This window comes from Homo sapiens, chromosome 18, assembly GCF_000001405.40.
Source record: "Homo sapiens chromosome 18, GRCh38.p14 Primary Assembly".
Lineage (NCBI taxonomy): Eukaryota > Metazoa > Chordata > Mammalia > Primates > Hominidae > Homo > Homo sapiens.
In genome coordinates this window covers 25120956-25135943 of record NC_000018.10, presented here as the reverse complement: position 1 = coordinate 25135943, position 14988 = coordinate 25120956, and the positions used below count along the sequence as shown (strand labels likewise).

The window sequence follows — 14988 nt, the reverse complement described above, 5'->3', positions numbered from 1 at the left end:
AAGATCTTACAGCTGTTTATATGTTATACTGAAATATAATATTGACTAAGCTGACATATATATTAAAAAGCAACCAAGGAATAAAGGGTATTGTTTTGGTATATAAATCAAAAATAATACAGCAACTGGTCTTTCAGTGATTAAAGCTGCCTTTCCCTTTAATAACTCTCCTAAGAAACAGGAAATGTAATTTCCCTACACCTTTCCTGGGGCTCTCCAATCAGCTAGGTCCTCTGGGGGTTCCCTACTGTATATTCCTTCATCAACAAGGAGTCCCCCAAGGGGCCCACACACACTCTGTTAAAATTAGCTGTGCTCCACATTAGTGACGGGAGCTGAGTATTCCTCAGAGGGGTACACAGTTGTATGGTGCTGCTTCCTGTTTGAGCAAAATCATATCTTTAATTGCAGAGAATTTTTTTCATTACCTGTTAATTGATAAATCATGCTTGCTCCTGCTGCTGTGGCTTGTGTAGCAAACCTGGTCATGGAGCCGTCTCCAGCCCAACCCCCATCATCCTTCCAACCCAAACAAAAAGGAAAAGAAACATTATGGCCAGAGAAGGAAAACAAGCAGGTTGGATTTCTGGGCAGTAGCCTCAAGGAGTTGCATTAAAACAAAACAAAGACATACACACACACACACACACACACACACACACACGTATACATATACATGTATGTATGTGTACATATATAAAATAAGGTAAAGAAGCCATTTAAAATGTTTCTCTTTTCTTTCCCCCTCCTTTTGTCATTCTTGTCCTTTTATTCATGTTTCTAATCTGGGTAGCAAGAGGCCACTGTCTTGGCAAGAACAGTAAAAATCCTGAGTATAGTGAAATAATTTAGCTGATAATTCCCCACTGTATAATTTTCTACGCTTCCTGCTAGCTGACCTTGTGGGCTCCTGTCAAGTTGCTAAGGGAAATCCAGCAGGACTCCAGCTCAGTTCCTTTACTTTTAAGAAGTATTACAGGATAGAGTGGTGTGTTTGTGGCAGCTTAGTTATGGGGCCGTACATTCTGTGTTTGATCAAATAGCACTAAGCACCCCCTCCCCACCACTTGCTTGGATCTTCTCCTCCCACCCCTCTTTTTGTGGTAGCTGGAAGATGGAGAAATTGCTGCAAAGTGTTGAGCTGGAATCATGAGCTTGATGGATGTCATCAGAATGTGCCTGGATCCCTTGGGGCGTGGCCAGGGGAGGAGGCTGGCCAAACTGAAGACATCTAATGGAGCCTTTTATCTCAGAGATGTCAGTCTTAGTCCAGATTGGGATGGAGTGAAAAGCTGCAACCGCTGCAATAAAAATTGTTTTGGAGTTGGAACACATCACCCCCAATTCCTTGCTGTCTGAAGTCCGCTTCCCACATCCCCAGTCTTGCTGGGCTACATCAGATGCAGTTTGGGCAGGTAGTAGAAGGCAGAGTAAGCAGATGGGAATATTGTCTTTATCATAATGTTCACAGACCAGGCAAAAGTTACCCTGCTCATTAGGAATGGGACACAATACACCATTGATTTGTGTCCAAGTAATTCCCAGGTAATTATAGGCCATCGATCTAACTGAGCAGTAGCTATGGTGGTTATATTCTGCAAATCTCATGTTGCCTCACACCTGGTGACTGCAGCGCCATTACATCAAAAGATCTAGAACAGTTTCCTCCTTAAGCTTCCTTTGGCCACAGGGATGTGTGGAGACTGTGGGATGGTTCCAGAAGTCTTTAGGAAGCCTGATGACTTGTACTTGCAGCCACTCTGCAAGCCTTGTTCTTTAAAATTCCGTCTGTTAGGATACAAGAGGTAAGGCAGCTTCCTGTTTGTAGTTGCTGTTTATAGGCCGCCAGCAGTAAGACAGGAATTGCATCAGCTGGCTGGTTTTGTGTCTCAGCTGTCACCAAAAGAGTGTAGTAATATTCCTGATTAAATGTCATTACTCTGTGGCACAAAAATGGGAACACTGACATGATTTTGGATCTGTTCCTGTTAAAATTCAGCCCTAGTAGCAAATTATGTCTGCTATGGATTAAACACAGCTATTTTTGAGCTATATTCTATTGCAGGCTCAGAATTTTTATCAATAAGTCTACACATTATACCCATTGATTCCCTCAGGCCTTTAACTAAAACATTAAAAAAAAAGAGACCCTAAGTAATAGAATGTTGAAAACTATTGTTCAATCAGCAGCTGCTGTCGACTCAAAATAATGTGGTTAATGTCCTAGATTAAAATAAATTGATGATAATAAAGTTGATTTGGTAACAGGAGGTAAAACTATAGTGTGAGAAAATAAAGTTTATTTTTGTATGCATTGTTGCATATATGGATATGTTTAGATACACAGTAGTCTCCATTACCTAGGAAGAATTTATTACTTGTATCATAATTATCTTTTAGTGGCTTATATGTCTATAATCAGATGATAAATGGTTATGTGGGTGAAAGAGAAAAGAAAGTGAGGTCTTAAAGAATTTGAAAAGTCAATTCTAAGGAAATAGTCACAGATTGTTACTTCTTGCCAGAATTAAAATTACATCATTGCCAAATCTTAGCCTCAAGAAAATGAACTGTAAAACCTGCTCATTTGTCCACTTCCAGTTCCTTTAGCTGATTACAAGCTCATAGCCAGATGGGAGCAAACAGAAGTAGTGAGGGGAGACATTTGACTCTTAACCACAAATGCACGTAGAATCTATATTAGGCCATGTTAATACATTCATCTAGATTAGGATAATAAATTCAACTGCATTTGACAATACTGGTAGATGGTATTATTTATTGAACTCTACCAAGAGACCTTGAAATGGAATATATGAAGCTGCTTCCTCAATTGTAGGTACTGTGTCCACTGACCTGGCATTTAGCAGATAATGTGATATCACTGACTAAGCGGCAATTAGGAAACCTACCAAGACCGCCCATCCAACAGACCAACACACCTTTTGCTTCGGGAACTCAGCTGATGCCGCACACATGTCCTGCTGTTGAATAGGTTCCACTCTCAGATCGGGGCAGACGGTAGAATTTATGCTCCCGTTTGGCATCTGTATGTTTCCAGATCGGGGCTTTGTCTCCTCCTCTTGCTAGATAAGTTGAAACATTGACAGGCAGCGTGTTCCTTTTTCTCCCCTTTTATTACAGTAATTTATAAGATATTTTAGCTAACAGGAGAACGGCCCAAGGGGGCATTCTCATGTTAATTACCAAATGTGGGCTTGTCAAAATCAAATAGCTCCAGGAATAATGCAAGTAGCTCTGCATCATTATATTGTTTGGCCCTCAACCCAATATTAGCTACTTTTTAAAATCTGGGTTCATTAGGCTTTTAAATTTAAAAGAGGAATCACTACTGGGAGCCTTCAGAAGAATGTAAAGCACAGCCAGCAGTGCCAGAGTTTAATGTAAATGACATTAAAAAATAGTTTCATATCACATACTCAGGGAAACATAAAACAAAACAAAACAAAATTGTGCCTGAAATTAAAGTATTTATTTTTCTCTTTACTAGCAGTCTGAAATGGAAGACAGTGTTTAATAGATGATTATTTCAGGAGTGTGCAGTTGCTCATGTTTTATTCCTAAACATCCTACCATTTATTGCAGTCATCAAGTTAGTGACTCCAAGGAAATGGAAAAAGTTAGAAGTTATAAAACACTAGTCTGCTTAGAAGATACAGTAGGTGGAAATGTAGGATTCTTTGTTGAGGAGCATATCCTAAAAGTTATTCAAAGATTTGTAGTTTGTGATGAAGATCCTTTTCCCAGAAAAATGTTCCCAGTACTCCCGTTTCACACCATCACTCAAGTAGCTGCCCCTTTCATCACTGTTTTTATCTGGCTTACCTTGATAACCTCCTTTTTCTGACTTTGGGATCTCTTGTGCCTTTAAGTCCAGAATCTTGGGTAGGGAGAGGCAAATAAGTATGTGTAACTTTTAAAAAATCCTTTCTTTCTAGCTTCTGCCATGCTCTTGGCTGCATACAGGAGTAAAAGTAGATGGAATTGGCGACAATGTCAATGAAGGACATAAGTAAACAGCTGGTGATGTCAACAAGAAGTTAAAAGTAAGATTTGCTACACTAAACTACAATGTGGAATAATCCTCTGGTGTATAATCAAGAGTTCACTATATATACAAGTGAGAATTAGAGAAGTGTGAACTATTAAAATATTAACTAGAGGATATTACTATAGAGGTTGTGGTGAATCAGAGCTTGAAGATTCACCTCCCGATGTTTACTGAACAAGCATTTATTCAGCACCTACTATGTACAAGGCTCTGGGCTAGATACGAGGGATATAAAGACAAATGCAACACAGTGGTTTTCTAAAGGAGCTTGGGTCAAATTTGGCACCAGACATGCAAATGAATATTTATGTCATGATAGATATTTGTCTTAGGAAAGCTAGGTACCATGATCAACTGGAGCACAGGAAAAAGTATTTGACAAGGACTGCCTGGGAAGCTTAGGGGACACTTCGTTAGGAAGAGAACTCCCTAACTAATATTCGAAGAATGAGCTGGAATTTGCAAGGCCAAGGAAGGATTTTCCTGTGTGTACAAAACTTCTTGGGAAAATTGTACGTGGGATGAATGGAATGAAATGATCCAGGGTGGACAGAGAAATGGAGCCTTACCAGACCATCAAGAACCTTGTATGCCATGCCAAGGACTTTAAGTTTTATCTTGCAGCCCATGGTTTTCTTGATGAAATTTGAGCATGAGGGTGATATGTTCAGATTTTCTTGTAACAGGGTCATTCTGGCATCAGAGTGGATTGAGGGCACTGTTGGAAGCCACAGGAGCAGTAAGAAGCAATCTTCTCTTTCTCATGCTTTCTTCCCTTTGGTTCTCTGTGGCTGCTACCAAACTTTTCTGATTACACTATTCATTTTCCACATAAGTATACCATGGAGACTCTCCAATCGGAAAAAAAGATATATTTTGGATTGTGTAGGATTGATTGATTGATTGATTGATTGATTGATTGATTTTTAGAGACAGGATCTCATTCTTTCACCCAGGCTGGAGTGCAGTGGTGTGATCATAACCCACTTCAGCCTCAAACTGCTGGGCTCCAGTGATCCTCCCACCTCAGCCTCCCAAGTAGCTGGGACTACAGGCATGCACCACAACACCTGGCTAATTATTGAATTTTTTGTAGAGATGGGGTCTCGCTATGTTGCCCAGGCCTATCTCCAACTCCTAGCCTTAAGGAATCATCTCACCTCAGCTTCCCAAAGTGCTGGGATAACAAGTGTGAGCCATAGTGCCTGGGCTGGATTTATTTCTAATGAATAAACTTTCTTAAAGCAGTTTTAGTTTTACAAAAGAGTTTAACAGAAAGTACCATTTCCATATTGTTTTTCCCCCATGACTTTATTCTCCCATCATTAACATCTTGCAGTGGTATGGTACATTTGCTACAATTGATGAACCAATAATGATACATTAAAGTTCACGGTTTATATTAGGGTTCACTCTGTTTTGCACAGTTCTATAGATTTTGCATATCATGTGTCCACAATTATAGTATCTTACAGAATAGTTTCACTGCCCAAAAAATTTTCTTTGTTCTATCTACTCATCCCTCTGCTCCTTCCCCTGAAGCCCTAGTAACTACTGATATTTTTTTTACTGTCTCCATAGTTTTGCCTTTTGCAGAATGTCATATACTTGGAATAATACAGGATGTAGCTTTTCAGACTGGCTTCTTTTACTTACAATATGCATTTGAGATTCATCCATGTGTTTCATGACTTGATAGCTCATTTCTTTCTATTGCTGCATAATATTCCATTAAATTGGCATACCACACTTCATTTATTCATTTATCTATTGAAAGACATCTTAGTTGTTGCTTCCAGTTTGGGCAGTTATAACTAAAGCTGCTGTAAACATTCGTGTGCAGGTTTTTGTGTGGACATACATTTTCAAATCATTTGGGGAAATACCTAGGAGCTCAATTGCTGAAATAATATGTTAATATTATGCTTAGCTTTATAAGAAAGCTCCAAACTGTCTTTCAGTGAGGCAGTATAATTTTGTATTCCCACCACAATAAATGGGGGTTTCTGTGGCTCAGCATCATTGCCAGCATTTGGTTTTGTCAGTGTTTCGGAAATCAGTCATTCTGACAGGTACAGAGTGCTATCTCATCATTATTTTTGTTCACAATTCACTAATGACACATGATGCAGAGCATCTTTTTATGTACCTATTTGCCATCTGTGTATCTTCTTCGGTGAAGTGTCCAGATCATACCCCCCACCCCGCCACTTTCTAATTGAGTTGTTTGTTTTCTAATTACTGGATCTTAAGACTATTACATATTTTAGATACAAGTCCTTTATCAGACATGTGTTTGCAAATATATTCTCTCATTATATAGCTTATCTTTTCAATCTCCTAATATTGTCTTTTGCAGAGCAGAAGTTTTTAACTTCAATGAAGCTTATCTTCTTGAATTTTCTTTCATGGATCATGCTTTTAGTGTTCTATCTAAAAATTTATTGCCAAACACCCGGTACCTAGATTTTCCTGTTGTCTTCTAGAAGTTTTGATTTTGTACTTTACATTTAGTCTATGATCCATCTTGAGTTAGTTTTTGTGAAATGTGTAAGATCTGTGTCTAGAAATCTAGACACAGATTAATTAATAATAATAATAATAATTATTATTATTATTATTATTCCGTGTGAAAGTCTAGTTCTAGCATCATTTGTTTAGGAAATTATACTTTCACCATTAGATTACCCTTGCTTCTTTGTCCAAGATCAGTTGACTATATTTGTGTGAATCAATTCGGGGCTCTCTATTCTGCTTCATTGATTCATTTGTCTGTCCTTTCACTAATACCATACTATCTTGATTTCTGTAGTTTTATAATAGGTCTTGAAGTTGAGTGGCATTAGTTCTCTGATTTTGCTCTTCTTCAGTATCATTTTGGCTATTCTGGTTCTTTTGCCTTTTGTATAAACTATAGAATCTTTTTGTCAATATCCACAAAAATAACATGCTGGAATTTAGATTGGGATTGTGTTAAATTTATTGGTCAAGTTGGGAAGAATTGACATCTTAACAATATTGAGTTGTTCTTTCCATTAACATGAAATATGTTTCCATTTATGTTGATCTTTTTAAATCTCTTGCATCAGAGTTTTGTAGTTTATCTCATATAGACCTTGTACATATATCATTAGGTCTATACGTAGGTATTTAAATTTTTTGAAATTAATATGAATGATGTGTTCTCAATTTCAAATTCTTATTGCTCATTGCTTGTATGTAAGACTGCAGTTGACTTGTATATCAACCTTGTATCTTGCAACATTGCTGTAATTGCTTATTAGTTCCAGGATTTTCTTCGTTGTGGTTGATTCTCTGGGATTTTCTACATAGGCAATCACGTATTCTGTAAACAAAGTTTTAATTTCTTTTTTTCCAGTCTGTATATTTTTTATCTTTTTCTTATATCAGCTACAACTTTCAGTATGATATTGAAAGGGAATGTTGAGAGGAGACATCTTTGCCTTGTTTCAGATCTTAGAGGGAAAGCTTCTAGCTTCTTACCACTGGTATGATGTTAGTTATAGATTTTTGTAGATATTCTTCATGAAATTGAAGCAGTTACCCCCTATTGCTAGTTTTGTCAGAGTTTTTATCATGAATGGATGTTGGATTTTGTCAAATTCTTTTTTTGTATCTGTTGATACGATTTTTTTTTTCTTTAGTCTCTTGACATGATAGATTACATCAACTGATTTTCAAATGTTGAACTTGCCTTGCATACCTAGAAGAATCCCACTGGGTCATACGGTATAATTGTTTTATGTATTGTTGGATTCAATTTGCTAATATTTTATTGAGAATATTTTTCATCTGTGTTCATGAGGCATAGTGGTCTATTGTTTTCCTTTCTTGTAATGTCTTTGTCTGGTTTCTGTATTAGGTAAAGGCTGGCATCATAGAATGAGTTGGGAAATGTTCTCTCTGATTCTGTTTTCTGAAACAAATTTTAGAGAATTGGTGTCATTTGTTTCTTCGATGTTTGATACATTTCACTATTTTCCATTATCCATTATTTATTTTCTTTTCCACAGAGACCAAATCAACCAAGTCTGTTTTGGATTGGGTTAATTTTTTTGTTTTAATTTATTTTTCTTTAATACATGTACTCTTAAACTCACAAACATGACTATAAAACAGTCCGTGCATGCTCTTCAAAAGCAAAATTATTATAAGTGATTACCACACTTGAAATGTACATATATTCTCTTAATGCAATCAATATTTTCCAAAACTCAAATTTCTGAATATAAATTCATATTTGTTGGCTCCTTTCCAAATCATTCTGGATCGTATCTTTTTTTAGGTCTTTTTCTAAAACATTATTGTGTTTTTGATTAGGCAAGTTGCATAAATTCTCCTTTTTCCTCAGTTTCCTTTTTTAACGAAAGCATTAATAATAGTACCTAACATCCTAAAGTTATTATTTCCATTATTTGAATGAGTTAATACATGTAGAGGATGTAGATCTATGCTGGGCATATAGTAAGTGCTTAATAAAATTTAGCCATTGTTAATATTAATGCTATTACTCTGCTAGGAAGTCTCTATGTCGGTCCTCTTTATCCCACTCTGTATCTTGTCCTACTACTGTCACCTACAGATCAAAATCTAAATCCCCTATTTTAAAGTTCAGGACCTTCAACAACCTGACCTTTATATCCATTGTAAGGTTTTTGTTATCTACCCACACAAAAATCTCCTTTTCAAACTGATTATTTCACTTCCCCCAAACAGCTTCCACATCATATTTCCTCCCTCAATTGCATCCCCCAGCCCAATCACTCATTAATAGTATGGCGTGTCTTTGTATTTAAAGTATAGCTTTGCAACATTTGTCAATCTGAGCTTTATTAAAGTATTCCCCACCAATAATACAAACCCATGATGTTTTTAGATCTGGCACAGACCTTATGAGTCACTTGGCCCAAATGAATAAACCAAGTCCTGGAGAGGTCAGATGGCTTATCCAAGTTTATGGTGCTGGAGGCTATCAGACTAAGATGTCCTTTCCTGCAGTGCCAAAAAATACAAGTGCAGTAATTACAATAATTTAATTCTTTGGTTTTTTTAATTTTTAATTTTGTGTTACATTCCAAATAACACATTAATCACTGTAGGTATTAGAAGTAGAATTTTCTCCTGATGTCCAAGATTTATCTTATTGTGCTTATCTCTAATGTAGGAAATTTTAAAGTATAAAAAGACTTTTATCCACTTAAATAGATATTTCTAGAATGGTTGTATGTGGCTCCTATTCAGTCCTTTAATAGTCCCCAGGAGGTAAACGTTATTCATGAGTGACTTTACTTACTTCACAAAACAGAGCTGCTTCTTCAGTTGAATAAAGATTTTTAAATATGACACAGGTACAGAGAAGGAAGTAAATATCTGTATAACTAATTGAAACTACAGAGGGAATAGAAAAACAGAATGTTGTTATTAATAATCCCTCTTTTTATGTGGAATAAACTATTCATTTGAGGAACTAGAACACAGAGTAGATATTGCTTCATTTAAATTTATAATATTACTGTGTAGAATGTAAGCATAATATCAATAGCCTGACTTCATTTATGAGTTTGCAACTTAAAAAGTTAGATGCTGGAGAAGGAAAGAAGGATATTTTCTGGTCAATTTAATTGGGAAAAAAGTGTTGAGAAACCAAAGATTGCTTGTGAGACCTGTTTAGGGGTTAGAGAAAATTGCTCGTGTATTACCATGTGGTCTGTGTCACCAGGTAGTCGAATCCACTTTCAAGTTTTCAAGGTTATTCATTCCTGTGAGATGTCCTAGAGGAGTCTATCCAGTTTCTTGAGGCTCTTCCTAGGATCCAAATTCCTAACTAAAAACTGTATAAAGGCAAACATAACATTTATGAGGACCATTGAAGGGGAATATGGTGCACAAATATTCTGACGCCAAAAAGCTTGCTACAACTAGAAATAGAATGTCAGATAAAATATACAATTTCCTAACTTCATACTTGAGTAATGGCCAAATTCTTGCAAAATGTGGACTAATATCCACATTAAAACTTAAAGTGCCAGCCACTACTGGATAGCAAGCAAGTTTATTTCTTGGAAATAATAGCAAAACCACAACCAAATCATACCTTTCTGCTTATAGTATTTAAAAAAAAAAAAAAGCAGTTTTGAAAACTAAATCTATCCTGGAGAAATTCCCTAGAGAAAGTGCATGACACCATTACACATACATACACACACGCACACACACACACCATTAGTGCCCACTTATTGGATGCCACATAGTCAAAGAGATAGCTGATGCAATCCTACTAACCCATAATCAAACTTGTTTAATACACACAACATACACACACACATATACACATACACACACAAGACCTATTCAAGATGGTTTACCAATTACTGTTTCATTTTAGGAAGAGAGATTAAACCACAAATTGAACATGAGGTATGTCTTGATATCTGTTAGTATTGGGCCTAATTTTCTTAATATGAATAGACTGTTTTGAAATTTATTGTTAATCAAACAGTTCTATAAACTGAAAAGTGTAAAATGCCAAACTGTTGAATTGAATCAAAGACCTCATTTCATTCAATCAATAAATTAGATAAATATAAGACTAATGTTCAACAATGGATTATTGTCTATCATATTCCCATGTGGCTAGATAAGATTCAAATTTCACTGAAAATAAAAACAGAAGAAAATCCACCGTTTCCTTTGAGGTATAAACTGCTAGATTTATGGGATCAAATATTATGTGGAGGGTGAATTTATACCTCCAGGATACTATCGGATCCATGCATACTCTTTGAGGTACTTGTAGTAGACACATAATATCAACTAATTGAAATCACTTTTATATATACTGTGCTCATAAATGGTGTCCAGGAAATTTTGGTTGAATGTTTTAACATAATGCCATAATAACACTTCCATAAGCAATATAAAACTACTTGAAGTAGAACTAGTTGTTACTGTGAGCATAGCTTGGATTTATATAGCTCAAAACATTTGCACATATATCTTTCTAACACCTATGGTTTAAAATCAGGAGCTTTGGAAGCTGTATCAACACTGTTAGAGGAGTGTATTTGACATAGATGTTAATTTGTTTGGAACAAAATATCTCTGCTTATTTGATGTAACTTAAATAGATAGAATTTTTACTAGCATTTTAACTGTCAGCACAGTTAAGTCATTTATTTGTTTCTCCAATTGAAAATAAGATAAAGTTTGCACAACACAAGAACAGCAATACGACAAAAATGGAGAAGGAAATCTGAGTAAGAGTTAAGGACAAGAAAAGGGGGAAATGTTCAGTACAAATAGAAGAAGCAAAAAATAAAGGATGGCTCTGAAATTAGCTTATATTTACACTGTAAATTCATAAAGGCACTCTCAATTCTTCAACTTTTATCATTTCACCAAATGATCTGCTTATGAAAAGCAGTCAATTGCCATGACTTTATTCATGTGTTACTTAGTTTCTGAAGCAGGACCCAGTGGCCAGTAAGCTAAGGAGAAAAAATGAAGCAGGACTGCAGCTGTTGTTAAAACTAAAAGGTATACAAAATTAGGGTAGTTACTTTAGTTCTTCCCCACCTCCTCCTCATCCTGTATCTCTTCACAGATCCTTCTACTTGTTGATGGGTACAGAAAGGGGAACAGAAGAAAAACTTACCCAGTTACAAATAAAAGATGACTAGAGATTTTTGCTCTCCTCGCTCTTGCAGTTGAAAATAATAGAAATTTAGAGAAAAGAGCATTCTGTCGGCTTCTTGTTTTCATAAGAAAGCTGAGATCCATAAATGTTCCATCACTTAACGCAGGCTCCAAGCAGCACTGGGGCCAGGACACAGATTTCTTGGCTCCCAGTCCCGCAAGTATATCTCTACAAGATACTGGAATGATGGCTTATGGAAATAACAATCAGTCGAGTGAATTTGAATTGTTTACAAAGCTAAAGGTGATGATTTATCAAAAAGGTTAAAGAAGGGATCATTTCTTTCATGAGAAGATCTTTTAAAAAATCCTCTATCATCCAAACCAGCATCTGGCAAAAATGTTTCTAAATTCTGAGAACCCCAAACCATTAGTAACTAAATATGGAATTCATGTTTCTTATAGAAAGCACATTAGGTCAAGGTAGGTCAAGGTTATATTAGAAAGTGTATTTTTATGAATGTTAATACGCACTTTAAAGTGCACTGGAGTCCTCTGTAAAATCACTGCATACAGTCTACTCTCCCTCCCTTCCCTCTGCAAGGAAACTGGAGAATGCAACAACCAAGGCTCAGGGTTGTGATTGAGGAGACTTGCAACTCAGTTTCTTCCTTTACAGTGAATAGTTGCATCACCTAGGTTAATCTCTTTACTATCAGGAAATGAGGAGATTGCTTGAAGGTACTTTAGCTCTAAAGGTTTTTGACTTGGAAAACATTAATCTTATTTCACGGAATTATTTCAATTGACTGAGGAGGTTTGTCACTTTCCCTTTTGTCCTTATGTCATTTTCTTTATCATTTCTGTGTTTTCTTTTAAACTGAGTCTTGACTCAATAATTTAGTCCCCAGTAATGCCATTGTGACTATGGAAAAAATATAGCATGCTTTACAACAGTTCCCTGACGATGTGGTCTGTAAGTGAATCTTTGAGGCAAAAACAAAACAAAACAGTGTTTGCTTCTCTTACTTCTTTGTTCTAATAATTATCTGTACTTACAAATGACTCATATAATGAGTCATTTGTAAGTACAGATAATTATTAGACATCTCTGTAATAATCTTCCAAACCCCAAATAGAGGAATGTCTAGTTTATATTTTTAATATTTGGTATAATGGTCACCACTTACAGTAGATCTAGCTTAAGAAGCAGATAGAATCTCATCCTAAGTTAAGGGCTCTATATTTGACCAAACCAAAACACCTGTGACTGGCTGAGTGCGTGTGAATTACACCTTCCCCACTGCCACACTGGACCAAGTTTCATGTCCCATTCTGTAAGCTAGTTCCTGATGTTTTTTTCTCTCCTTCCTTTTTTTCATCATGATCTAAAACTTGTCAGTTTCTATTCTTTCTTTGATAATACTTATACTACAAGTTACCAATTTTTTCTGTGCCACCCACAACCAAAATTTATTTCTTTTCTTCACATTCACAAGCTACCTGCATTCCAATCAGAGGGAGAAGTGAGACATTAAATTTCTTAACTGCTTCATCAGTAATAGATCAACATTCAGGTCCATAAAAAGTGGAGATAAATCTATATTAGAAATTCACTTTACTTCTTGAATATATTCTAAAAGTCACTCACTTATTTGATAGGATATATGTAATTCTAGATTTTACATTGGGGCTTGTTTTTAAATAAATATTAGACATTTCCAGGTAGAATATAATTTTAGGTACAATATTCAGAATATAGTATATACTTAAAACCATGAAAATACCAAAAATTATAACTTAAATTATCTGAATGTTCATGACACTCTGTCACTTGACAGTTACCTATTTTTCAGATATTTTTCTGTACATCTCCTTCAGGGATTTTAGTCATAGGTATATTAGCCACTTGAAATTGTCCCACAGTTCATTGATACTTTGTTCATTTTTTTTCACTACCTTGTCTCTCTGTTTCATTTTGGATAGTTTCTGTTGCTCTGTCTTTAATTTGCTAATCTTTTCTTCTGTAATGTCTAATCTGCTGTTAAATCCATCTGTATTTTTCATCTCTTCAAGTTCAATATGGATCTTTTTATCTCTTTCATGTCCCTATTGAACACCTTCAGTGTTTCTTCTATGTCTTGAATACACAGAAATGTAGTTATAGCTTTTTTAATGTCTTTTTCTACTAATTTTATCATGTGTCATTTCTGTGTCAGTTAATATTGATTGATTTTTTGCTTTGCCCTATGTGTTGCATTTTCCTGCTTCTTTACGTGTTTGGTGATTTTTCATTGGATGCCAGACATTGTGAATTTTACCTTGCTGGGTACTGGATATTTTTGTATTTATATAACTACTCTTGAGCTTTGTTTTGGGAAGCAGTTAAGTTAAGTTTGTAATAGTTTGATCCTTTGAGGCCTTATTTATATTTGGGGGGAGGAGTTGCAGAGCAACCTTTAATTTAGGGCTAATTTTTCCGCACTACTGATGCAACACCCTTCTGCATACTCTACCCAGTACTTTCTCCTCTCAGAGCCCCTCCTGTTGTTCCTTCACTGTCCCCCTCCAGTGGTGGGGAAGGGGATGGTGGTCACTCTGCTGGGTGCTTTCTACTTCCACATGCAGTTATTTCATGTCATCTAACACTTTTTTAAGACTTTCTGGCTGGGTGCTGTGGCTCATGACTGTAATCCCAGCACTTTGAGAGGCCAAGGAGGGCAGATCGCAAGGTCAGGAGTTTGAGACCAGCCTGGCCAACATGGTGAAACCCCGTCTCTACTGAAAATGCAAAAATTAGCCAGGCATGGTGGCAGGTGCCTGTAGTCACAGCTGCTCGAGGCTGAGGCAGGAGAATTGCTTGAACCTGGGAGGCGGAGGTTGCAGTGAGCTGAGATCGCGGGCAACAGAGCGAGACTTTGTCTCAAAAAAAAAAAAAAAAAGGAAGAAGAAGAAGAAGGCTGGGCGCGGTGGCTACTCGGGAGGCTGAGGCAGGAGAATGGCGTGAACCTGGGAGGCGGAGTTTGCAGTGAGCCGAGATGGCACCACTGCACTCCAGCCTGGGAGACAGAGCGAGACTCTGTCTCAAAAAAAAAAAAAAAAAATACTCCTTCTTCCCTTTCACTCTATTTTTTAGGGGTTAAGGAAAAACAAATTCAGTATTATTTTTTTGTTTTGGATTTTTCTCCAAAAACTTCTTGACCAAACTATGAAATTTACTACTGAGAAAGATAAACTTGAGAGCATAGATGACCCATGAC

The 14988-nt window shown here is 36.3% G+C and overlaps 1 protein-coding gene and 1 long non-coding RNA gene across 11 annotated transcripts in view; one reads left to right on the top strand and one right to left on the bottom strand.

The window, feature by feature from the left end:
- Positions 1 to 14988, top strand: part of ZNF521 (zinc finger protein 521) — a 290243-nt gene that overhangs the window by 216223 nt on the left and 59032 nt on the right. The window lies entirely within an intron of this gene.
- LOC124904269 (uncharacterized) lies at positions 6708 to 12006 on the bottom strand. 2 transcript variants are annotated; one of them, XR_007066317.1, is made up of 4 exons: positions 11748 to 12006; positions 9793 to 9924; positions 8983 to 9085; positions 7492 to 8009 (listed from the first exon to the last, which is right to left on the bottom strand). It is a non-coding gene; the product is annotated as an uncharacterized LOC124904269 (long non-coding RNA). The 2 variants fall into 2 exon arrangements; XR_007066316.1 differs by having other exon boundaries at positions 6708 to 9085.